The 27,379-nt window shown below is 33.7% G+C and overlaps 1 protein-coding gene across 32 annotated transcripts in view; it reads left to right on the top strand.

Moving 5' to 3' along the window:
* CCDC171 (coiled-coil domain containing 171) overlaps positions 1-27,379 on the top strand; it is a 556,042-nt gene that overhangs the window by 361,300 nt on the left and 167,363 nt on the right. For 25 of the 32 annotated variants that reach the window (XR_007061261.1, XR_001746227.3, XR_001746228.3 and 22 more), the window contains one exon: positions 6,086-6,238. The exons of 2 other annotated variants lie outside the window; for them this stretch is intronic. Coding sequence is in view for 26 of the 30 variants with exons in the window: in XM_047422930.1 (XP_047278886.1) it covers positions 6,086-6,238 (153 nt within the window). In the remaining 4 variants the exon portion in view is untranslated. 5 more of the 32 variants (XM_017014432.3, XM_017014431.3, XM_017014433.3 and 2 more) reach the window with 5 other exon arrangements.

Below are 27,379 nucleotides of genomic sequence, written 5' to 3' on the forward strand. Positions count from 1 at the left end.
TGCTGCTCTCTTCAGAGCTGACAGGCAGGAACGTTTAAGTCTGCTGAAGCTGTGCCCACAGCTGCCCCCCTTCCCCCAGGTACTCTGTCCCAGGGAGATGGGAGTTTTATCTATAAGCCCCTCACTGGGGCTGCTGCCTTTCTTTCAGAGATTCCCTGCCCAGAGAGGAGGAGTCAAGAGAGGCAGTCTGGCTACAGTGGCTTTGCTGAACTGCAGTGGGCTCTGTCCAGTCAGAACTTCCTGGAGGCTTTGTTTAAACTGTGAGGGGAAAACCGCCTTCTCAAGCCTCAGTAATGGTGGACATGTCTCCCCACACCAAGCTTGAGCATCCCAGGTTGACTTCGGACTGCTGTGCTGGCAGCGAGAATTTCAAGCCAGTGGATCTTAGCTTGCTGGGTTCCATGGGGGCGGTCTCTTCTGAGCAAGACCACTTGGCTCCCTGGCTTCAGGCCCCTTTCCAGGGGAGTGAACAGTTCTGTCTTGCTAGTGTTCCAGGTGACAATGGGGTATGAAAAAAAAACTCCTGCAGATAGCTTGATGTCTGCTCAAATGGCCACCCAGTTTTGTGCTTGAAACTCAGGGCCCTTGTGATGTAGGTACCCAAGGGAATCTCCTGGTCTGGGTTGTGAAGACTGTGGGAAAAGCGTAGTATCTGTGCCGGATAGCACCATCCCTCACGTCAGGGTCCCTCATGGCTTCCCTTGGTTTGGAGAGGGAGTTCCCTGACCCCTTGTGCTTCCCGGGTGAGGTGATGCCCCACTCTGCTTCTGCTCACCCTCTGTGGGCTGTACCCACTGTCTAACCGGCCCCAGTGAGTTGAACCGGGTACCTCAGTTGGAAATGCAGAAGTAACCCACCTTCTGCATTGGTCTTGCTGGGAGCTGCAGACTGGAGCTGTTCCTATTCAGACATCTTGCCAGGAATCCTCTATTTTTGTTTTATATGAATTTTAGGATTGTTTTTTCTAACTCTTTGAAAAATGACATTGGTAATTTGATAGAGATTGCATTGGATCTATAGATTGCTTTGGGCAATATGGTCATTTTAACGATATTAATCCTTCCAATTCATGATCATTGGATATTTTTCCAATTGTTTGTGTTATCTACAATTTCTTTCATCAGTGTTTTGTAGTTCTACTTATAGATCTTTCCGTCTTTGGTTAAATATATTCCTAGTGTTTTTTTTTATAGCTATTGGGAATTGGATAGCTTTCTTGATTTTGTCCTCAGATAGATTATTATGGGTGTATGGAAATGCTGCTGATTTGTGTACATTAATTTTGCATCCTGAAACTTTACTGAATTTATCAAATCTAAGTGTTTTTTGGTGGGTTCTTTAGGATTTTCTGGATAGAAGAATATATCATCAGCGAGCAGGGATAATTTGACTTCCTGTTTGCCAATTATGATACCTGTTATTTTTTTCCTCTTGCCTGATTGCTTTGTCAAGGACTTCAGTACTGTGTGGAATAAAAGTGGCAAAAAGTGGACGTCCTTTTCTTGTTCCAGTTCTTAGAATGCTTTCAACTTTTCTTCATTAAGTATAATGTTGGCTGTTGGTTTGTCATATAGGCCCTTTACTATGTTGAGGCCTCTCCCTTCTCTGCCTAGTTCTTTGAGGATTTTTATCATGATGGTATACTGAATTTTACCAAATGCCTTCTCTGCATCTATTGAGATGATCTTATGGTTTTTGTCCTTAATTCTGTTTATGTGATATATCATGTTTGTTGATTTACATATATTGAACCATCCTTGCATTCCTGCAGTAAATCTCACCTGGTTATAGTGTATTATCTTTTTGATGTGCTGTTGGATTCTATTTGCTAGTATTTTGTTGAGCATAACCATGTTATCATTGTGAGATCTTCTTCCTTAGGAATGACATAATAAATAGTAACTTTTATTATCAAAGAGAAATAAATATTTAAATATTTTATATTTAAAATATTCACATTATGTCTAATAATTTACACCTCTCAGAAATATTGAATCTTTCTTTTATGAGCTTAAATAGTAATTTTCCTATTTGATATCATTATTACAGGTAACATTTACCTGAGCCTTTATTATATGCCAGGTAGTTTAAGCTCATTTCATGTATTAATACTCATTTAATTTCTATAAAATGTTATAAGGTATGAATTTTTATCCTGATTTTGTGAGAATGTATTACATTTCACATATTTAGTATATTTGGCATATGTGTTTTACACAATATATTTACGTAAGATATAGAAATGAAGTATGTATATAATTATATGAATTAAAGTCGAAGTGATAGAGTTTTTTGCTTTCCAATTACTCAAAAATGTAGATAAAATATTTGATATTTTGGCATGTAGGCTTTATGATATTTTTCACTATTTTCTTCTTCTCTTAATATCAGTCCCCCAACTATCCCATTGTTCCTGATGTTCAAATTTGAAGTCAGTCTAAACTACTTAATAATATGTACATAACAAATTATATAAATGGTCTTCTAGTCTTCAAGTGACATGCAACTGTTTGTATCTTATAACTTTTTATATTCTAATGCACGTACACTTTTAAAAAATGGATAGATGTGGAATTTTATGTTTGAATTCCCTCGTCTTATTACTGTCAATTATAAACACTATAGATTATCCCTTAAACAAAGGCTATTCTTGTTCAGAAACTGTCTTTTGTTCTTCATATACTAACCGAGTCTCACTGAGATACAGATCTCACTGCATGGTATAGTCAAAATAAGCCCCTGGGGCCAAGGATGACAACAGGATAAGTTCTCAAATCCTGGACTTGCTGTATATAATATCATGCTGTTTTGTCATTGTTTCCTAATGTAAAATAATGTGATCTTTTAATAAGGGAACAGGATATGTCGTAGAGGGTTAGACAGTCAGACTGTCATTTCCATTTCTTCTGCCAACTTGACACCTTTCTTTTGTATTAAGGAGTTGAATTTTTCATTGGTATGCTTTACTGTATAGTTTGAATCACTTATTAATACTGGAAGTTAACATTCTTTATTCTTCAAAGGATATGTGGCTTCTTTGAATAATTGCCATTTCAGTGATACTCCTCATACCTTCCAGTTTTGAAGGAGACTTTTGTTTAGAAGAGCATAGTATATTTTATACATATTAGTAACATGAAACCTGCTTTCTGTATTGATCATTGTACCTTGCTGCTCTGAAAAAGTATCATATGCACTATTATACAAATTTTATTTTGTCTCTCAAAATACTACTTTAAGAGAGTTGGAATGTTTAAGATTTGAAATCCTAAGAAAAATTGGATTATTATATTCTTTTTAGTGTTATAAAGAAGTAGTATGTGGTTTATATTAATATTTCGCTGAATATTAGAATTTAGTTATTAAAAGTAGATCAAGGAAGAGTTATCCACTATATAAAATTTCTGACATTACTTCTCAAAAAATTTATTTTTAAAGGGAGATTTGAAGGAATATCATTTATATTATTTATTCCTTTTAGAATGTCATAAAGATGAAATTCATAAAATGTGTTTCTCCAAGGTTAGAAAATGGGATAACTTTTAAAATGTGGAACTTTTAATCCTAAAATATTAAAGGTCAATTCTCTTGTGACTTACAGTGAAATAATAATCCAGGAGCCTATTACTGATGGAAGGGAACTTTCTTACCATTCAATAAGCATTTATGCATGTTTCAGCCTTTTATACATTTTAGGTCCTTAGACAATAAAAGTATATATCTAAGAACCACATATTTCAGATTGTCTCATTTAGATTTTAGTGGAGAATTTAAAAATAGAACAATAGTAATAATACTACAATGAAATTCAATAGTTTACCATTTTTAGAGTGCTTTCTTATATTAAATGCAACATAGGTGAAGGGTTAAGAGAGTGAGTTTGCTTGAGAAATACTTGGATTTGTATCCTGACCATTGTACAACTAATTGTAAACTTGGACTAGTTATTTAATCCCTCCAAGCTCCTGTGTTTTGCTCTGAAAAACTAGATTAAAAAAAGTATCTACTCCATATGGTTACTGTAAAGATAAATGAAATTAAGCATGTAATATGCTACATGGTCCCTGCACTTCAGTAAATCCCTAGTAAACATTAGCTATTTTAATTTTCTGAGCCTTACAACAGTTTTGGAAGTAGACAAGAAAACGACTCTTTTTCCCATTTTATAGAGGGAGGAGATGGAGGCTCAGAGGGATTATGTGGCATTTCCCAACAACATAGAGTTGAATCAAAGTAAGACTCAGAAAAAAAAAAAAAACCAGGACTTGTGATTTCTGGTCTACTATCTCAATGGAGAAGATACATGAATTTATAAGAATTGAGAGAGACTTGACATAGGAAAAAACAGATGTAATTCAAGTTTCTGATTTTCACATACTTTTGAGATGCAGAGATATAGTTTGTATTAGTATTAGCTATAAACTTGCCTTGAAATGATTCAAAGGAAGATAGGTTAGGATATGTCAGATATTCCCAGGTAAGAAGTCATATAATGCTTATGTAGTGTTGGTTAATAAATTAACATTTGTGTACTTCACCCTTTTATGCCTAGCCTATAGTTATGCTTCTGCTTTTTTTCAACTTGAACAGAGTATTATTAATAATTTATTCATTAGATTAGGTGTTAAGATTATACTTTCCCAAACATCATCACCCTTTCGTAGAAGGCATTTTATAACAATATATGGTTTCAACTTATGGTTTTTATCTTTTCTAATTTTTCATCCATTCATTCTTCAAAGCAGTCATTAATTCAAGCAGTCATTCAAACAAGTACTCACTATCCCTGAAGCTCCAAATATGTATAGGCAGAGTATCTTGCCTTAAGTAGCTTCTCAGTCTAGTAAAGAAGATAAACATGTAAACTAATAAATTTCTACTAAAGCAATAATATGCAACAGTAGAAGCAGGCATGAAGGATCCACAGAAAACCAGGATAGAAGTTAACACTGCCTTTTTTGGGCTCACAAGAGGATTCTTGAAAAAGATCTGAGCTGGTTTTTTGAGGGCAAATAAGAATTTATTAGGCCAAAAGGTCTGAATTTTCTTACTCTTACCTGCAAGTAACTAACTTACCTCTGTTTTGCATACATTTACTATATTGTTTCTTACTCTGTCTTTGTTCACTAAATTATTTTTCACATGCATTCACAACTGCTCAAATACATAATTTCTCAAAGCTTTCCTAATTTACAACCTTAAGATAGAATGTAATTTGCAAATTCTCAGACTGTCTACCTTTATACTAAGTTGTGGCTGTTGTAGGAACATTTTTCTTGTAAACAATATAGTATTATTTTTGAAAATGTCTTTGAAATATGGGATTTATTTTGCTATATTTGAGTTATTTTGAAAGTCTCCTTTAAAAAGGCATAATAGTATCCTGGACTTAAAATTTATTACAAATTGCTTTAGAAGAAAAATTCTATAAAATATGATTAAACTGTGATACAATAATTCCCTAAATATGGTACTGTTTAGAGGAGATAATAGGTTACCAGAACTTGCTTATGTTAATTGTTTTATTATGTATAGTCCAATGTAAGGGCATTTCTGTGTTACATGAATCAACATAATTATACTTTTCTTACAAAATAAGAATCACATTTACTCTTAAAAATCACAAGATTATTTTAGCTCCTTTTGTTTCAAAACATTTGTTTTTTAGGTGGTTTAAAAATTTTACTAACTCAGCTTATTTTGAAATACCTTGTTTGTATACCCATTAAGATTGCACCTCTCTTAAGATGGAAATTTAGGTCAAATTACAACTTGAATTTAACTTTACTACAGAAAATAACTGTGCCATCTTTTAAAACCGCATTCTAAATTTTAAGCACAATAGATCAAAGTACATCTTATTTAAATAAATACTCTGGAATGAAGTCTCAATTATTTTCTCACAAACTTTCTTAAAATAGTCACTGTTCTCAATATAAAATGTTAGGTTTAGCTTTATTATTTTAAAGAAAGATGAAAAGTTGTTTATTTTAAAATTTTAATGGTTTTGCTTTCAAATTATGGAAATTCTCCTTTGGGGACATATTTATTTGAATTATATGTGACATTATTTTTATTTCTTAAGGCTATGATTAAAAGTTTCATGGATGTCTACCAGCTTGCAAGCACTAGAATCATGACATTAGAGAAGGAAATGACATCTCATCGAAGTCACATTGCAGCCTTGAAATCAGAACTTCACACAGCTTGTTTACGTGAAAATGCAAGTTTACAATCAGTAAGTCCTTGTCTAACAATATTTTTATAACTTTTTGAATCTTGGGTTACATTTACATTTATGTTTTTAATGTTCATAAGATCATTTGCCAATATATATAATTTAGGGTAAATGATCAATCAAGTGACATAAAATTATTTGTGTGGAGAAAAATTTGAAAGAAGAAAAGCAATTAATTTTTTCATTGTATTATGTATAAAGATATGCATATTGTTATCAATGCTAAAACACTACATCAAGATTCCTTTGTGTTTGGCAGTGCAGCTGACAGTTGAATTTGGCAGTATGCATAGTTAAAGCTTGCAACTGTCTGAAGATTCAGTGTGTCCCATTAAGACAGAATATTATTAATTATGCGTATAACCAAAATGGTAATTAGAACATGTGATTATTCTCTGTAGAAATCTAGACTTATCCATAATACATGCCTAGCTAAAGATGCATGTTGTGATTCATCTATATGATTAAAATTCAGTTTCAGCAGCTATTTTCATGTCTTAAAATTTCAGCCCATGATGAAGTTTGGGCTCACTTAACACTAAAAAAAAAAAAATTTCTCTACTTGAAATATATTTTTGGGGAGTTTTAAAAAATGAATGTATTGTGACATAAAGGAATAAGTAAACATTTAAACTTTCCCTCAAAAGGCTGATATGTCAACAGTAGATTCAGAAGGTTACCAATAATTGGAATGTCTTTTTAATTTTTTTTGGTTTGATTACAGTGACTTATAAAGAAAAACAGTATCATTTTGCTATTCCGCTGTTGACCCGCTTCAAATGCTACATTCAACAGAAAAAGAGTTAGCATTAAAACAAATAGATGCATGGCTGTGGTCTGATTCCTCACCTTCTAGTCTTGGCTCAAGTGCCAGCGTCCAAATAAATCCTTTGTAACCAGGGTATTCAAAATCACAACCATCAACTCTCCCTGCCCCCTGAAAAACTGTCTCTCTTTTGCCCCATATTTCCTGTCTACCTTCCACCTTTCTTATTTTTTTCCCCTCTAGCAGTTATCGTCAAACTGACATATGGTGCATTTTATTTATTTGCTTATTGTTTGTTTGCTCCTTCCTCAGTAGAATGTAGGTTCCATAAAGAAAGGCAGTTTTCAGTGTTTGCTTCATTGCTGTTAAGACTTTCCAGTTCTAAGAGCAGTCTGGCTTATAGTAGGTGCTCAATAAATATTTATTGAGTGAAAAGTACGAGTAATCTATCCAATAAATGTAAAAAGACAGTTATTTGGGACCAGAGTTGTGAGTTCAGTTTTTAAAATGACTTTGTTAATTTCTTAATGAGAGATTAGTAAATTTGACCTCCACCAAGAGAAATTAAAATGAAGAGGAAACTTTTTAAAATTTTGGAGTATTTGGAATTTATTCTAGCCTTTTTCATATTTCTTCTTGCTATCTCTGATTTGATTGGTTAATTTTACATTATACTGTTTAAGTTGTATCAGCTTTGTTGGGTCATACTATTACTACTTTTTACTGTTATTTAATATGAAAACAATTACTTGTATTTTAAGAAGACCAAACTTGGTAAGGTGAGATTGTTTCTCCGTGGGTTCCAAAAATTTTTACCAATTGTTACGCTACTGATATCTTAATGAAAGTGTGTTTAATATACTTCACAATCATACCAAAACTCTACTTTTCAACACTTTTTCCCCTTTGAACATATCTACAGGATACATTCATCATTTCATTTAGAAGAGATGGTTCACCCTGTAGTGATTCTTCATCTATAGAATGCGAAACATTCCCCCAGGTGATTCTGATGTATCCTTTTAGGAGAATGCTGCCCAATTCCATGTCTTGACAGGATGTGTGCTCTCCTGTCTTTTCCCTTAGTTGAGAATCACTGTTTTAAAAATAATAAACTTGTGTGATGGTTTTTATTTTTAAAAGATATTTGTATATGCATTTACTAACTTGAACTTTTTAAGAACTCTCTAAAGGAAATAGAAAAACAAACCTTTGTCTTTGTATTTCGTAGATGAGAGGCAATATTGTTTGGTGGGTAAGAGCATGGGCTTTGGAGGTATATCCATTAGGAATACTATCAGGTGTAAATAACAGAAGATCTGACTAGCACAATTTAAAAAATAGAGGAGTGCGCATATCTCTTTGACCTACTGATTTCATTTCCTTTGGATATATACCCAGTTGTGGGATTGCTGGATCACATGATAGTTCTAGTTTTAATTTTTTGAGGAATCTTCATACTGTTTTCCATGACTGTACTAATTTACATTCCTACAACCAGCGTGTGCAAAGATTCCTTTTTCTCCACGTCTTCACCAACACTTATCTTTTGTTTTTTGTTAACAGCCATTGTAACAGGAGTGAGGTGATATCTCATTGTGGTTTTCATTTGCATTTCCCCGAAGATTAGTGATATTGAGCATTTTTTCATACACAAGTCCATTTGTATGTCTTCTTTTGAGAAATGTCTATTTAGGTCTTTTGCCCATTTTAAAAATCAGGTTATTTGTTTTCTTGCTATTGTTAGAGGTCCTTACTTATTTTGGATATTAATCCCTGTCACATGTATAGCTTGCAAATATTTTCTCCCATCCTGTAGGTTGTCTCTTCACTGTGTTGATTGTTTCCTTTGCTGTGCAGAGCTTTTTAGTTTGATTTAATCGCATTTGTCTGTTTTTGGTTGTATTGCATATAATTTTTAAGATCATATCCCAAAAAATCATTGCCAAGAACAATGGCATGGAGTTACCCCATGCTTTCTTCTAGTAGTTTCAGAGTTGTGATATCTGCGCTCCTATGTTTATCACAGCACTGTTCACAATAGCCAAGATATATAATCAGCCTAAGTGTCCATCAATGGATGGATGGATGAAGGAAATATAGTATATATACATAATAAATACTATTCAGTCGTAAAAAAGAACGAAATCTTGTCATTTACGACAACATGGATGAATCTGTAGGACATTATGTTAAATGAAATAAGCCAGGCATAGAAAGACAAACACTGCATCTCACTCATATGTAGAATCTAAACAAGTAACCTCATAGTAGAGAACAGATTGGTGGTTACCAGAGGATGGAGTGGATAGGGGAGAGAGAGCAATGGGGAGATGTTGGTCAGAGAATATATAATTACAGTTAGGTAGGAGAAATAAGTTCTAGATCTCTTGTACAACATGGTGACTATAGTTAATAAAGACGTATTCTTGAAAAGTGCAAAGAGTGGATTTTAAGGGTTCCTACCATAAAAACGATACCTATGTGAGGTATTACATTTGTTAATAGCTAGATCTAACAATTTAACAATGTATATATACTTGAAAATGTGTTGTACATGATAAATACATGCAATTTCATCTTGCAATTAAAAAATAGAGAACTTTTTTTCTCGCATTACAGGAAGTCTAGAAGTAGGTGGTTATTGTTATTAGTTTAGTGGCTCAACTTTTCTGTAATTTCTCTACTACTCCCTCATTGTCATAAGATTGCAGCCCAGATCTAGGATTTGTAGTAACATTCCAGTGAGAAGGATGGGATAGCCCAACAACAGCTTATATATAATGTGTTACTCAGTTATATATATGCCTCCAAAGGCATGTATATAGATATATAGATATAGGTATATAGATAGATCTCTATACACACCTTAAAAGGCTTTTCCTTTTAAAAACATATATTTAATATTTATATATTTCAAAGAAGGGAAAATCTTCTAAAGAAGCTCCAAACAGATTTCTGCTTATGTTCCAATAGCTGGAAATGGGTCATGTGGCCACACATAGCTGAAATAAGTTAAGGGACAAGGGAGTTAGGAAGGAGTGGATATTGTGTTAACCAGTTAATAGTGTGTGCCATAGAAGTCAAATAAGTTTGGATTCAGATTCTGGTTCTGTCAGTTGCTAACTATGTGGCTTGCATGTCAGGGCTTTCATCTGTAAAATGGGGTTAATGATATTGCTACCTAATACAGATGTTGGGCAGTCTAGTGAGAAGTGTTAAAGTACTTAGGACCTTGCCTCACACTTAGTCAAAAAAAAAAAAAAGTCAGCTATTATTCTGATAACCATTATCTTGATAGAAAGTCATTGGATTATACCACAGGAAAAGATTATTTACTAACCTAACACTTTCAACTACAAATTTCATCATTTTATCCTGCTTCCTACTACAGCCTTGAGCATGTAACTCCTCTTCTTTGATCACCATTAGCATATTCCAGTGACTGAGCTCTCTGCTCCTTTCTGCAGCCTGTTTTCCTCTCCTTTCATTGATACATTCTTAAAAAGTAATCTATACTTGCTTCTATATACTCACTTTCCATTTATTCTTGAGCTTTGGTACCATCTGACTTTTGAGTCTGTCATTCTGCTGAGACTATTTTTCAAAAGTCACCAATAATTTTATGCTTGCTCTATCCATTAGTTCCTTTCCATCCCTTTCAATTTTTATGCAACATCAGGTCTTTAGCTACTCCTTTCTTCTTTAAACACTCATCTCCTTTGTTTCACATGTCTACTTTTCCTTTGTTGACTCCCAGGCCTCTGCTTACTTGTGCTCGGCCTTCTTTGTATTATTAATTCTTTTCTTTATCTATTAATTCAAAATTTATTAAGCATCTGCTTTTTGGTGGGCACAGTTCTGTTCTTGGAGATATCATACGAACCAAAACAGACAATCCTTGTTCTCATGAACTTAAAATCTAGAAGTGGAATTATTTTTCATATAATCACACTAAATAATGTGTAATTACTAACCAAGACAATGCACTGAAAGGAAAGAACTTGACCGATTATGAGTTTTTTAAACAATGGGGCTGTCCTAGACTAGGGTATGAGTAAAACATTTTCAGAGTCAGTGATGCTTGAGCTAGTGACTGAAGATTGGATAGGAATTATCCAATGATGCAAAAGAACAGTGATCTAGATCAGGAAAAGGGGAGTGGTGACTTCTACAAAGTTTCTGTGATGGAAAGAAGAAACTGAGAAAGACCAGTGTGGCTGGCGGAAGAAAGCAAAGGCGAGAGAGGTCTAATATAAGAATGGTCTGGAGAAAAGGGCAGAGGTCAGACTTTGTTCTTTTTCCTAAGAGCAAAGGAAAACTCACTGAAAAATTTTAAAGGAGGAATGAGCTCAGATTTGCATTTTAAAAAAGATCACTTTGGCTACAGTGTGAGGAACCAGCTAGACATGAAGAACAAGAGAAAATGGTGTGCCTGGGACAATTCCTAGTTTTTTGCTTTTGGAAATGGATCAATGGTCTCATTTACTGATAAAGAAAACAGTGGAATGGGGGGAATATTGTGAATGTAGTTTTGAGTATGTTGAGTTTGAGTTTCCCTTAATCTAATGTTTTGGAATGTTAATATCCACTGACATAGATGGTTTGAGCATCAGGGACATATAGGTAGTACTTTGTACCATCATCTCTGAAAAGCACTGAATGTGTGCTCATTTCCTTTCCTTTGGAACTCACACGTCTCTGTGTTCCTTATTGCATAGACCATTTTCTACCTGTATTTAACAATATAGAAATAATCATTAAGTGGACATTATTTGAGGTATGGAGACAGAGGTGAATAAGACATGCTCTGCCCTTGTGAGTTCCTCTTCTAGCTAGGGAAACAGAGACATAAGCAAATCACAAAAATAGGCATATAAAAAAATCTGTGGATGCACAAATGAGAGAAGAGTACATTCTAACATTGTCAGAAGAAAGTGCTGAGAAGATAATGTATGTGTAGGAGTCTCTGAAGAATGTATAGCAATTTGACACATTGTAAAGTGGGAAGAGCAATCAAAATATATATTTTATGTTGACTTGGGTCTTATGGATAGTACATATGTTTAATGAATGAAATTATCATTTTGTATAATAGGAAATGTATTGTTATTTTAGTTCCATTCCCCCTCTTAATTAAAGCCACCCAACTCACCCAAACAGCCCGTACCCAGTGAGCCCAAGACTGCTTGCAATAGTCATTCCAAACCTTACCTTCATCGGTTCCCAATCCATTCTTGCACCATCCAATTCCAGCTTTTTACTTTATAATCTGATTTGATTCCACTTCTGACCATTTTGTTTTTGATGCTCTTTCTTGACCTCTCTCATATTTATTTTGGCTACTCTCAAAACTATTAACCAGCTGCCATTTTCCCCTTCTCACAGAAGGCTTTAGAATCAGGCAGGCCTGGATGTACATTCTGACACTGTTACTCATTAGCCATTAAAACACTCTAATCATCAGTTTTGATATTTGTAATAAGTAGATGAAAATTCCCACATTGTAGTGTTGTTATGAGGATGAAACAAAGACACAGTGTCTGGCATATTAGTAGGTGATCAATAAATATTCTCTTATCTGTGTGTAAAAAGATTTTCTGATAGTTATATGTATTTCCTATAGCTAAGCTATACTATAATTTTAAGAAATATGTTAACTATGAGGAAATCTTTTTATTTGTAGGCAAAAGAACTAAAACAACCCTTATATCAGTGCTTTTACCATATAATAAGTACTGTATTACCATTACTTGTTGTTGTTATGACTTATTTAATGAATCAAGGCAGCCAGTATGTACTCATTACTATCCTATCCAGCCATTTCACCAGATACAAAATAAATATTCATTATTTATCAAAAACATATGTCATGTCATTGTAATGCATATAAAGAGATTGATCATATTGTAGACATAATTATCTTTAAAAACTATCCCTCTTTAGGTAACATTTTCAGTTTTTTTAGCAACACACAATAATAATGCTGGAGTTCATGTAAGATTTCTCATCAGTTGTACACTTGCCAGTACTTTAACTTTTCCGGTATGTTGGTCTTTGGCCCATTAACTTAGGACTGCTCCAGAGCTTTTATCTTGAGTTATAATAACTAGAAAGGGCTTTGAGTAAAGAGCTTTTGAGTCCCATACAGCCCAGTAGAGAACAGTACAGCAGTCAGAACCAATTACTTGTGGGTGTTTGGAGACCAGCACACCCACAGCTATGGAGAAACATGATACTTCAGTCTTGAAACATAGAATGCCAAACCCAAATACTTTGCTGTGAGTTATGATGCTGCAAACTACGGTACTGATTTGCTTCATTTCCACTGTATGTTTAAGCAGTATGTTTTTAATTTTATAGGACTTTATTTATGAGTAAATAATAAATTACAATGCAGAGGACCATTCCATTAGTGTCTTTGCGGGAGAAATATCTTTGCATCATTGTTCAGATTATGTCAGATTTGATACTTGTCAGGTGGTATTATATTGTTAATAAAAGTGAATTGTTTAGATATTTTGGTTCAGTTAAGATGAAAAAAAGGGATCCTCTTTCTCTTAAGTTCCAAAATAGCATTTCACCACATTTATTTTAGTTATACTTTACGGATAGCAGAGGGATCATTTGTTAATTTTAGTGTTGTGTAGCTAGAGAAACTGACACAGAATTAAGTGTTTTTCTCCAGGTAAGTTGCTTCCACAAACATTCATATACCTTATCTTAGTTGATTATTGATACTCATTATTGAGTTTTTAGCCCTTTAAGAATATTTTTTTGAAACAGCTGTTAGCCTTGACAATTTGTTGAGAGAGGCTATACAGTGCACTTCAATGGTATAAAGTACAGATTCTGGAGTTCAACTCCCTGGCTTTTAATTAGAAACCAATCAGATTACAAGCCAAGACCTCTGATTCCCTGTCAGGTGCTTTCCGATGAGACTGCAATGTGGAATAAGACAAATCTTTACCATCATGGCACTTCAGATATAGTGGAGAATACAACCATTGTACAAGTAATTAAAAGAGGGCTGTTAAAGTACAAGCGTAGGGTGCTTTCAGAGCATATAACTGAGGGACTTCACTTGGGCTGTGGTGAGGAAAGGCCTGCCTGGGGAATTGAAATCTCAGTTGAAAAAAATGAAGATTACGTCGGAGTTGACATGAGAAAGCATGGCAAGCTCAAGGGATTGAAAGATGTCTAGCATGGTTGAAGCAGAGTGGATTAGATGGAGAATTGTGAGAGATGACACTGGAGGAGAAGGGGCCAGCTGTGTGGCATATAAGCTGTGATAAATTTCACTGTTTGAGAAACTCTCACTGTGATATCTCTGACAACTACATTACAAAATATTTACTCCTTTTGCTTTATTTTCCTTACCCAAATTTCATTTTTTTCCTATTCTCAAAATTCACCTGCATTTTATGTCATAACAGTGCTCATTTTACCCTTTGCTAAATACTTCTTAGTTAGATTTTCATTAAGTTCTCTCATATTTTTATTGTGACTGCCAGCTCTGGCTTTTGGATACTAATAGAGCTGAATAAGGAAAACATAAAATATCAAAAACTGGACAGCTCAGTCAGCATGCAAAATATATTTTTTTTGATCCTTGGCATATATTTCCAAACTTTTAAAGGTTTCTCATATTCTAGAAACTCAAGAGTTGTTTGTATAGGAAACAGGGGCCTGGAGTTATTGGTGCATATTCCAATGGCCTCATACCTTCTTTCTAGAATTTTGTTTTATGTAATGCAGTTTAAGAAGATGCACTTTCATCATGGTGACTAACCCAAATCCTGATAGTGACTTTTGGGACATGATATAAATTTTGTATTTATGTAAATATAAGTATACATTCATATAATATAAAACATATTAGATATATATTATTTTGCATATCAGTATAAACATTAATATATATTTATATAGTTCTATTCCACAGTGATGAAGTTTTACAAGGATGGAGCAAGAAGTGCCAGAATTAAAATTTCAAAGTGATCAGTATAATTGATTAGTAATTAAGTTGCAGAAAATATGGATAGTAACTGGCAACATAATGCTCTAATTATTCCTATTAGTTTTTCAAAGAATGGCAACAACTAAATATGCTTCTGAGTGTCTCCCCTACTATTTTGTCTTTTTTACCAAATTGAGTTCTTTAAGGGTTTCAATTACCTATTAAACATCTGCACTTTGATTTTCTGCAAAAGCCTGAAATTCACTGAGGTCCCAAACTGAACACTTTTTTCAACACTTCTGTGCCCTGTTTCTCCTAATTCTCCTTTGCCTGCATTGCTTGTCTCTGAAATAACTGTCCACCTTGCAGCCCAAGGAAGAGTCCTTAACTTTTGTTCCACTTTCCCTCTACCACCAATATTTAATTTATTGCTAAGCCTTACTGTTTCTACCACCACAGATCTCTTAGACCCATCCTCTTATTTCTATCTGTGTGGTCACATGACCATTTCCCTGGGCTATTGCAATGGTCTTCCAATAAGTTTTCTCATATCTAGTCTTTTTTCTTCTATTCACCCTGCCTTATTAGTGCCAGAGTTATCCTTCCAAAACACAGATATGGTCAGGTCATAGCATTACTGAAAACATTTTCAAACTTTTAAAGATTTCTCATATTCTAGAAACTCAAGAGTTGTTTTTTCTCTACAGTTTCCCCATAATAAAGTATGAGTTTTTTACCATTGACATTCTGGCATATTCTGACTCCTTCTGGTTTTTTTCACCATTGTTCAATTGGCAGAAGAAGTAAGAGTTCCTTTGTTCTGATCGTTTGTCACTGTATTTACATGTGTGAGTTCTGTATAGTAGTCTGACTTACGTAACCAATTAGTTGTGTATGTATTAGCATATTGTGAGACTTTGAGGTGATGTCTTAGTCATATTTATAATCCATTATAATGATCAGATTTTAATAAATGCTGCTTGATTTGAATTGAAATTAATGAGAAGGTCACTCATTTCATAATATTTGTTCAATCTATACTTGTTATTGGACCTATACTTTGCATAAACCATGATTCCCTCCGAATTTTTCCCACACCAAATTTTCTTTAATTTCCATCAAACTGTTTTATATTATTCTGTATTAGCACTTAATGAAAATGAGTAGAATAATTTACATATTCTATATATGGTAAAATTTTAAGTAAATACTTTTAAATAATATACATTGGATGTTTCTTCTCACTACTTTTCCTAAAAAAAAAAGACAACACAGAATTATTTGTGACAAAGAAGAACATTCTTTTCAACATACCACTTAAATGATTTTCTCAGATATTTTGGCACCCCTACCTCTGGGTGTTTATGTAGAGGTGGACATACATAGACATAAAATTACCATCATAATACCTTTTACTTACATGGTATATACTCAGTAAGTGTTTGTTAGTGACGATATACTGAGTTAAAATGAACTCTACTTAGGCCTAGCAAAAAGTAAGACTTTATGTTATTTCAGAAATAGAGGTCTAATTTACATAAATCAGTAGAAAGTTTGTTTTCAAAAATGTGTTTCCTTGAAGTCTTCCCTCACACTATATACAGAAATTAACTAAAAATGAATCAAAGACCTATTTATAAGAGCTAAAACTATAAAATTCTTTTTTAAAAATTATGTTTTGAACTGACACATTATAATTGCACATATATCTGGGGTATAATTTGATGTTTTGATGCATATTTATGTTGTATAATGATCCAGTCAGGGTAGTTAGTGTATCCATAATCTCATGCATTTATCATTTATTTGTGGTGAGAACATTCAAAGCCTCTCTTCTAGCTATTTTCTAATATACAACATTTTACTGTTAACCATAGTCACATCCATGCAATAAACATTGGAGTGCAGCTATCTCTTTGACCTACTGATTCCATTTCCTTTGGATATATACCCAGTAGTGGTATTTCTGGGTCATATTGTAGTTCTATTTTTAACATTTTGAGGAAACTCCATACCGTTTTCCATTAATAGCTGTACTACTTTACAACCCTACCAACAGTGTGTAAATGTTCCCTTTTTCTCCACATCCTTACCAACATTTGTTTTCTTTTGCCTTTTTGGTAATAATGATTCTAACTGAAATGAGGTGATATCTCATTGTGGTTTTGATTTGCATTTCCCTGATGATTAGTGATGTTGAGCATTTTTTCATATGCCTGTTATCTACTTGTATGTCTTCTTTTGAGAACTGTCTATTCAGGTCTTTTGCCTATTTTTAAATTGGGGTCTTTCTTTCTTTCTTTCTTTCTTTTTTTTTTTTTTTTTTTTTTGCTGTTGAGTTGTTTGAGTTCCTTATATATTCTGGATATTAACCCTTTGAGAGGTGTATAGTTTACCTATATTTTCTGCCATTCTGTAGGTTGTCTCTTTACTCTGTCCATCATTTCCTTTGCTGTGCAAAAGCTGTTTAGTTTGATGTAATCACATTTGTCCATTTTTGTTTTTGTTGCCTGTGTTTTTGAGGTCTTACTCAAAAAATTCTTCCCCAACCCAATATCATGAAGCATTTCTCCTATGTTTTCTTCTAGTGTTATCATAGCTTTGCATTTTACATTTAAGTCTATTACCTATTTTGAGTTGATTTTTGGATATGGTAAGAGGTAGGGGGTCTAATGCCATTCTTTTACATGTGGATATTTAGTTTTCCCAATACTATTTATTGAAGAGATTGTCCTCTCCCCAATGTGTGTGCTTAGCACCTTAGGTGTATGACTTTATTTCTGGGTTCTCTGTTCTGTTGCATTGGTTTATGTGTCTGTTTTTATGCCAGTACCGTGCTGTTTTGCTTACTATAGCTTTGCAGTATATTTTGAAGTCAGGTAGTATGATGCCTGTGGCTTTGTTTCATTTGCTCAGGATTGTTTTGGCTATTCAGGGTTTTTGTGTGTGTATGTGGTCTCACATGAATTTTAGCACTTTTTTTTCCATTTCTGTGAAGAATGTCATTGGTCTTTTGATAGGGACTGCATTACATCTATAGATCACTTTGGGCAGTATGGCCATTTTAACAATATTAATTCTTCCAATCCATGAACATGGGATATCTTTTCATTTATTTGTATCCTCTTCACTTTATTTTATTAAAATGTTATAGTGTTCAGTATAGAGATTTTTCACATCTTTGGTTACGTTGCTTCATAGATATCTTACTTTTTTATAGCTATTGTAAACGGAATTGTTTTCTTTATTTCTTTTTCAGATAGTTGACTATTTGAATATTAAAATGCTGCTGATTTCTTATATTGATATTATATCCTGCAACTTTACTGAATTCATTTATTACTTGTAAAAGTTTTTTTGGTGCAGTTTTTGGGGTTTTCTATGTATAAGATTATGCTTTCTGCAAACAGAGACAACTTGACATCCTCCTTTCCAATTTAGATACCTTTTGTTTCTTTCTCTTGCATAATTGCTCTGGCTAGGACTTCCAGTACTATGTTGAATAGAAGTGGCGAATGTGGATGTCCTTGTTTTCTTCCTGATTTTAGGGGAAAAACGTCTTCTCCCCATGCAATATGATGTTAGTTATGGGTTTCCCATAGGCCTTTATTGTTTTGAGGTACATACCTTCTATTCCTCACTTGTTGAGAGCTTTTATCATGATAGATTTTGAATTTTGTCATCCTTTTTCTGTGTCTATTGAAATGATCATATTTTGTCTTTATGTTAATGTGGTATATCACAGTTATGGATTTGTGTATATTAAACCATCCTTGCATCCCCATGATGAATTCCACTTGATCACAGTGAATAATCTGTTTAATGTGCTGTTGAGTTTGGTTTGATAGTATCTTGTTGAGAAAGTTTGCCTCTATGTTCATCAGGGATATTGGCCTGTAGTTTTTTTTGTCTGTGTGTCCTTGTGCAATTTTGGAGTCAGGATAATGCTGACCTCATAAACTGAATTTAAAAGTATTTTCTCCTTTTCAATTTGCTGGAATAGTTTGAGTAGAATTTTTATTTCTTCTTCTTTGAATGTTAGATAGATTTCAGCAGTAAAGCCATCAGGTCCTGAACTTTTCTTTGATGGAAGATGTTTAATTAAGATGTTCAATTTCCTCACTTGTTTTTGGTCTGTTCAGATTTTCTATTTCTTCGTAATTTAATCTTGGAAGGTTATGATCCTTTATATTTCTGTGGTATCAATTGTGATGTCTTCTTTTTAATCTCTGATATTATTTATTTTTTCTTTCTTTTTCTTAGTCTTGCTAAAGGTTTGTCAATTTTGTTTACTTTTCCAAAAAACGAATGCTTCAGTTTATTAATCTTTTAAATTATTTTTCTTAGTCTCTACTTTTAAAAATTATTTCCATCCTTCTACCAATTCTGGGCTTAGTTTGTTCTTATTTTTCTAGTTCCTGGAGGTGTATCATTAGGTTGTTTATTAGAAATCTTTCTTCTTTTTTAATGTAGGTGCTATAAGCTTCCCTGCAAGAATGGCTTTTGCTGTGTCTCATAGATTTTGGTACGATATGTTTCCATTCTCATTTGTCTCAGAAAATTTAAAATGTCCCTCTTAATTTTCTTTAACCTTTACCTTGCACTATATACAAAAATTAAGTCAAAATGGATTAAAAACCTACATAAGAGATCTAAAACTATAAAATGCTTAGTAAAATGCATACCAATAAATCTTCATGAGCTTGGATTTGGCAGTGGATTCTTATGGATTCTTAGATATGACACCAAAAGGATAAGTGACAAAAGAAAAATAATAAATTGGGCTTCTTCAAAATTAAAAGCATGGAAAGACTCTATCAAGACAGTGAAAAGACAACCCATAGAATGGGGGAAAATATTTATAATTATATATCTGATTAATCCCTGATATCCATACTATGCAAAGAACTCTTACAACTCAACAACAAAAAGACAATCTAATTTTTAAAAAATCACAGAGGACTTGAACAGCTAATTCTCCATAGAAGATATGCAAATGCTTTGGGAGGCTGAGGCAGGAGGATCACTTGAGGCCAGGGAGACCACCCTGGGTACTATAGTGAGACCTCATCTCTACAAAAACTAAAAAAGATTAACTGGGCGTGTTGGCATGTGCTTGTATTCCTGACTACATGAGAGGCCAAGGTGAGAGGACTGCTTGAGCCCAGGAATTGAAGGCTGCAGTGAGCTATGATCATGCCACTGCACTCCAGCCTGGGCAACAGTGTGAGACCCTGTCTCAAAAAAAAAAAAAAAAGAAAAGAAAAGAAAGAAAAGGAAAAAAGAAAAGGAAATGCAAATCAAAACCACAGTGAGATGCCACTTTACACCCACTAGGATGGTCATAATTAAAGGAAGATAACAAGCATTGCAAGGATATGGAGAAACTGGAACCCCTATACATTGCTGGTGGGAATGTAAAGTGGTAAACCACTGTGGAAAATGATTCCTCAATAAGTTAAACTTGGAGTTACCATATGACCCAGCAAATTTACTCCTGCATATATACCCAAAAGAATTGTAAACAGGTATTCATACAAATAAATACTTGTATACAAATGTCTATAGCAGCACTATTTACAAAGCCAAAAGGTACAAACAACCCAAAGTCCATCAGTTGATGAATAGGTAAATGCCATACAGCCAAACCATGGACGAATAATAAAATTCAGCAATAAGAAGGGAAGAAGCACTGATACGTGTTACAACATGGATGCACTGTGAAATCGTTATGCTAAGTGAAAGAAGCCAGACACAAAAGGCCACATTTGTATGATTCCATTTTATATGAAATATCCAGAATAGGCAAATCCATGGAGACAAGAAAGCACATTAGTGATTGACAGAGGCTAGGGGGAGGAGAGGATGGAGAATGACTGCTTAACGCATATGGAATTTCATTCTGGGGTGATGAAAAGGTTCTGGAACTACATGGTGGTGATGGTGGCACAATGTTGTGAATGTTCCTGATGCCATTGAATTGTACACTTTAAAATTGCAAAACTAGTAAATTTTGTGTGTATTTTATCTCATTAAAAATATTTCTTTGAGTTCTTGGGTGGTGTAGGATAGGCAGGTAGATTGTTGCTTACACAGGATGGCAATATGTTGTAGTGGAAAGAGCATGACAGAGACTCAGAGGAAATTTGAGTTCTAGAGCAAACTTTACTATTGACTCACCTCAAAGCTTTGGGAAATAAATTGTGCTATCTCCCTGGGTCTTGGTTTTCCTGGCTGTAAAATGAAGGGTTGCTATTTGATGAAATCTAAATTCCCTGTCAGCTTTAAAATTCTTCAATTGAAGTTACAAATACTGATTTTGAATCCAAGAGTCTAACTATGTTTTGTCTTGTTCCTGTGTCAGTTTACAACAATAGATTAAGTGTGTTTCTAAATTTATAATAAAATTATATGTTGAATTTGGTTATATTAGCATATAATATAAATGTAAGTCATTTACAAATGTATACCAGTTATGTGAGTCTCACAATGTGACTTGTAACTAGGTAGTCAATAAATCCCCAAAGTAATAAAAAAATGTATTAGCGTATTTGTAAGGAGTATTTCCTTTTTTTATGCAACATTTTTTGATACTTAATATGTTAGGAATGTGAACTTTTAACTCATCAGACTGTTGTAACATATTTGAAAATTATAGTAATTTGATTAAAATGTTGCCTATAAGGCAAAAGCCTTAGTTAATAGAATCCATATGTAATTAAAATGCAGAACTAAATGTAATCAGACTCCAGTGACTAGTGCCTTCATATTGATAGTTTTACAATGGCCTCTGGGGTTGAAAGTTTAAATGTTACAGAATGTAACAACATTGCAGAAAACAACTTAGGCTGGCAATTTAGCTGTTTGAAAGTCATCAACATAGTTACTTGATAAGATGTGACTGTCACATTCTAGATTCTCATCATTTTATGAATAGGTACTGTTGGCAGGTGGTAGAAGCACAAGACTAGTGTTCCAGTGGAGGACTATGCTTTGCAGCACTGTTATATAAACAGACCCAGATGAAGGTCCCTGCTAGAAGCCAAGCCACTGCCTTCTTTTCTTTTTTCTTTCTTAATAACAGAGTTGCTTAATTTGGGTGAATTCATTTGAATCATATGAAAGTTATAGACACGACACTATGCACCAAGCCACAAAAAAAAAGTCAAAAATTTTTTCCTGAACTTAAAGAAATTATTTTCTCTGGACAGTTTTAAGAGTTGACATCCTGTGTTAGAGTTCTCTAATCATCACCAGCACAATTTACAATCAGAACACACAGAGAGCCAGTTCAGACCAGCTCATCTGTTGATCTTGGCAGAGACCCTTCATCTCATTGTGTGCAGCTGCCACTTGAGAGTTGAGGGGACTCAGCAGAGAGCGAGAGGAGGGTGGGATGCAAGGCTGGTCAAGGCATGAACACTTGGGCCTGCTGCATTTCAACAGTTGTATGTTGCTTGAAAAAATAGTCTTTTTTATTATACTGCCTCCCCACCTCCCCTTAACCTGAAATTAAACGAGGACCTCTCATGAGCCACTGCGCTCCAGGCATAAGAAATTGTAATGTCTGGCTTCCAGAAACTGTCCCGTCAAAATGTGCTTCTGATTAGGTGGCTTAATTACAGCTGTGAAAACAATGTTGATTTAGGCCTCAAGATTCCAGGGCATGTCAGCCGTTATTAGCTAACCTTGGACTGAATCCATCATTTTAAAACTCTGTACCACTAAAGTCACCCTGTTTGACAACTTTTTTTTTAGGTGGAAAGATTGCCAGAAGCAACACATTTTATGCAAAATATTGCTCAGTGCACAATTTCAACTGCAGCACCATTAGTGGACATTAAAGGGATAGTTAACTTTGCACTTTATCAAGAACAAGGAAGTGCTGTTTGTAAAAACAGTAAGTTTTGAATAGTATTTTTAAAGAGTTGACTGACATAAGAATTAATTTTAATTCCTTTAATTCAGTTTTATTTCAAATCCAGCATGTTGGTTTAACCGCCCAATTTTATTACACCTAAATTTTCCTGACAGTTTCATTTGCTGTTAGGAAATAAAATTGCAATTTTTTTCAACATGGGAAATAATGGCTAGTTTAAAAAATGTTGTGTTTGAAACTTCCTTTGCCTCAAGCTGGTTCAGAGACAACCTCAGTTTACTTTTGGAAGGAAATGAACCTCATTAAACAGTTTTTAATATTTTAATATAAGTAAATTTTTTCATAGTGAGAAAAAAGCTTATTAGACTCATGTATTTACACCTTCCAGGGAAGTAAAAGTTGTAATAATTAGATGATTCCAATACTTTAGAATTTTCTATACAATTGTCACTGGTATAAATATAACTATGTATTGTAAGGAGTTCCAATTCCATTGTATTTTAGATGTCTAAAATCCCCCTTATATACTATGAATACTTTTTTGTCAGCAGTTTTAAAGTAGACATTATTTTAAAAGTCATTACTAAAAAAGCACACTGGGGAGTTGAACAACAAACATAAAGAGTCATAATTCTCATTATAATTTTGGAATAAAGTTTTGCTTGAAAATGCTGAATTTATGCCAAGCTTAATACCTAAGAGAGAGAGCTAAATGATTTCTTTAAAAGGAAATCTCCCACACCCAAGACGTTAAATACAGTGATGTGGGTGGTCAAGGCACATCTTTTTCTACTGGGTAAACTCATTGAGTATTTAACTCTGTCACTGTGAATCATGTATGGACAAGGAAGCTTTTGTCCAAGTTAAGAGTTAATACATAGATAATTAATTGTGAGGAATGGATGGGTGAAGAGATGGGTTGGTAATATAGTATGTACGTCTTGAAAGAGAAAGATGAGCAACTGATTCAAAATAGAGAACAAATTAGTAATCCCGTAATCTAAATAATATCAGTAACACCTGATTGCCAGATACTGAAGAGACACTTTACACTGGTATCTACCTCATCTATTATTTAATTTAATCTTTATACCAGTCTTATGAGGGAAATGTTATTTCCTCACCTTGCAGATGAGGAATCTCAGTCCCAGAGAGAATATGTAATTTGCTCAATACCATGCTGTTTGGGTCTAGACTGGAACCATTATCTGTGTGTCCAAAACCCGTGCTCTAAACTAAAGATGGGAATAGATTTTCTTTTTGAAAATGAATTCCAGGTTATGAAATAGTGGGGAAAAATTAAGAATGACCAAGTTTACATGGAGTGTGCCTTACTCTGTGCATACACTATTAATAGAGAAGAGCATTTAAGCTTAAATAAAAGTTTTACAGTTTTCTACGAAAAAAAATCCTAATTTTTTTTTCTTTTAAAAAATGACTGTATATAAAGACTCACAAATTCACTGGGTCTATGGTTAAGGCCTTTTACCTAGAACAAAAGGATCTTTCTCTTTCCTTTTGAAGTTACTTTATGCACAGAGAATTGAAAGTGTACATCCTTCCATGTTAGACTGGTTTGAAGTTTGGATATATTGCATTTGTTCTTAAGATTCTATGTTAGCTGAGAAATTGGGAAGAAATAGCTGTCTTTCCCAGAACTTTGGCTTAGGGCATACTTTGATAGAATCTGAATTCAGCTTATTCTTTTGGATATTCTTTTGTTCTCCATGTTTGCCTGACACCAACTGGAAAGATACTCTTCCAGAATGTAAGGGGCCAGCTAAGGTTACAGGACTTTATTTTTCTAGTCTCTACCACTTTATTTTTGATTAGTTCTAACTAAAAATATGAATTTGTTTGAAAAAATAATGCCATATGGATAGTATACACAATAGATTTTATTTAATTTTTTCATGATAAAATGATTGCTTTGATATATCATTTTGTGGTGACTTATGACTTAATTTTTCACGATCTTTTATTAAATAACATTAATATTATAGATTCTTATGATTATAATTATGTACACCCTAGCTGGTTTTGCCTCTTCTTGATAATATAACCTTTTTTTTTTTGAGAAAAGAAAATGGCCCAAGAAGGAGTTTTGAAGAATTATGTCTACACCTATTTATATCTATATACTGTGTCTAAATAGATAATATCCATATAGATATAAATATTCTCACTATTTCATGGTATTATACTATTTTGGCTATGGAGTAATCACTTTTTAATATCTTAGTTCATGTACTTATATATCCTGATTCATATTTATTTGCATACAGAATCCTTCAGTTGTAGAAATATGGTATTTATCCTACACAGGTAAAAAAAAGAAAAGAAAACCCTGCAGAATATTTGAAGTCAGATTATTGAAACAATTCAACTTTTATAATCACATAGTTTGTTTCCTTAATGGCACTGCAATAAAGGACATCAGGTATATATAATGCTTCTTAGCAGTGATTCAAAAGAGTTTAAATTGGTCACCATTTCAATAACAAAAGTGCATGAAAAAGTATAGGGTAGTTATTTATTAGAAGCAGCCATTAAATAAGTCTCACAGTCTTGTTTATCTCTATCTCATATGGATACCTCAGGCTGGGAGTGGGAGAAGCCTAGAGAACAGAATTTTTACTTCCACCACTTCCCCGAGCAGAATAACTTTACTTTTATGTCATTTAGAAATTAAATTTTGAAATAAGATTTCATGTAATAAATGCATTCTGCTGCTTAAAAATTTGGAAGCGGTAGTCCACCCTGGAATAACTGATCTGTTAAATAAGTAGTTATTTGAGACACCCCGGAACAAATGATCTGTTAAAAAAGTAGTTAAGTATGTCATAAAGTATCAATTACATACTCAAGGCAAAAAATAATGAAAAGGGATGGATAATTTCATGATAACTTCTACACTTTGTAAAATTATTTTATTTGTTTCATGACTGCTTGAAAGCCTGAAAATTTAAGACTTGTTTTTGTTTCTTCCAACAAAAATACTTTTGCTTTACTCAATGCGTACACTCTTTTTGGCACTACTTGGTACAGATCTTGATTATTGATGCCATACAACTTTATATCATTTGTTTAGTGGATAAAAGCAATACACATAATTTTGCTAAGAGTGTAAAATTATCTTTGAAATAATGAAATATATGTAAATACATGTTTTACAGTCTATATTTTGTATTTGACCTTTATAAACTTAATGAATAAAGACTTTTCATAGTAATATACTGAAGCATGGATTTCCCACCCATAGTATTTGATCTACCTGTAGAACTCAGAATCTTATCTAATTAAGCTGCAAGTCATTTAAGGTCATTTCTCTTTTTCAATGATTGAAGGGAATTTTCCAGGAAATTACCAGTTACACTGGTAACTGACTTGACTTCTCAACTTCCCACATAAGGAAGGATATACACAATAATTTCTTAATGGAAATAAGGGTTCGGTCCCTTTGCACAAAGTCAAACTTGCAGACCAAATGTGGGAACCAACAAGGATATAAAAAGGTACTATCTATCATCAAACATCTTGTACTATTTGAGTACAATAAACAATTTTCTCTCTCCATCTCCCTCACCAGAAGTTATACATATTCACTGTTACTATAGCTTTATCTCCTCAATATTTCTCCCCTTTATTTTTGAGGTACAGAGAAATTGAAGGGATATGCTCCTAATTTTGTGTGGTGGAAAGCAAACTGGACTGTGGAGTCAAGAGCTAAGACCTTGCCTCTAGTCCCAGCTACTCAGGAAGATCAGGAGAATTACTTGAGTCTGAGAGTTCAAGAACAACCAAGGGCAACCTAGTGAGACCCTATCTCACTAGGTTCAAAAAACAAAACATAGCGTTAAGAAGTTAATCTTTGCCCTGCCAACATTAGCTATATGATCTTGGGTGATTAACCTCTCTGGTAGTTCCCACGACTGTAAAAGGTGGAGATTGGACTAGATAATCTCTAAGGTGCCTTCTGGTACTAAACAAGTGTTTTCTCATTCACTTTATTATTATTATTTCTGTCATAGCCTTCCATGCCACTTAAAGGTGTCCCTCTCAGGGCCTTGTGCCACCTAAGTGTTACCTCACCCAGCCGGCAGACTATTGCAGAGGATTCAGATCATTAACAACAGTAATAGCATATGTTTCAGTTTCTATTTTTTAGAATAACAAACAAAATGAGTATTTAAATATTTAAAGTTTTTCACCTTTGAAATTGAATATTTGGCAGTCAGGAATGCATAGAAAGTTAGTGTATTGGTTAATGGAGCTCGCCGGTAGCGATTCAATACTTGGTTAACTTATTACTTTGTTTAACACTTCTGGACACTATTGTAATCTTAACCATTTTCAGTTTAAACTTGTTTTTATTGTTATTCACATTTAATTTGCACCCATAATATACCATTGAATAGATAGGAAACCTTAAAAAAAACACTGAGTTTGAAATTCAGTGATAATAAGGAATCTTAAAAAAGATAATTAGGGAAATTTACCTCAGTCTTCAACAGATCCACAAGTTCCATTCATCTG

This window comes from Homo sapiens, chromosome 9, assembly GCF_000001405.40.
Source record: "Homo sapiens chromosome 9, GRCh38.p14 Primary Assembly".
NCBI classification, from domain to species: Eukaryota; Metazoa; Chordata; class Mammalia; order Primates; family Hominidae; genus Homo; species Homo sapiens.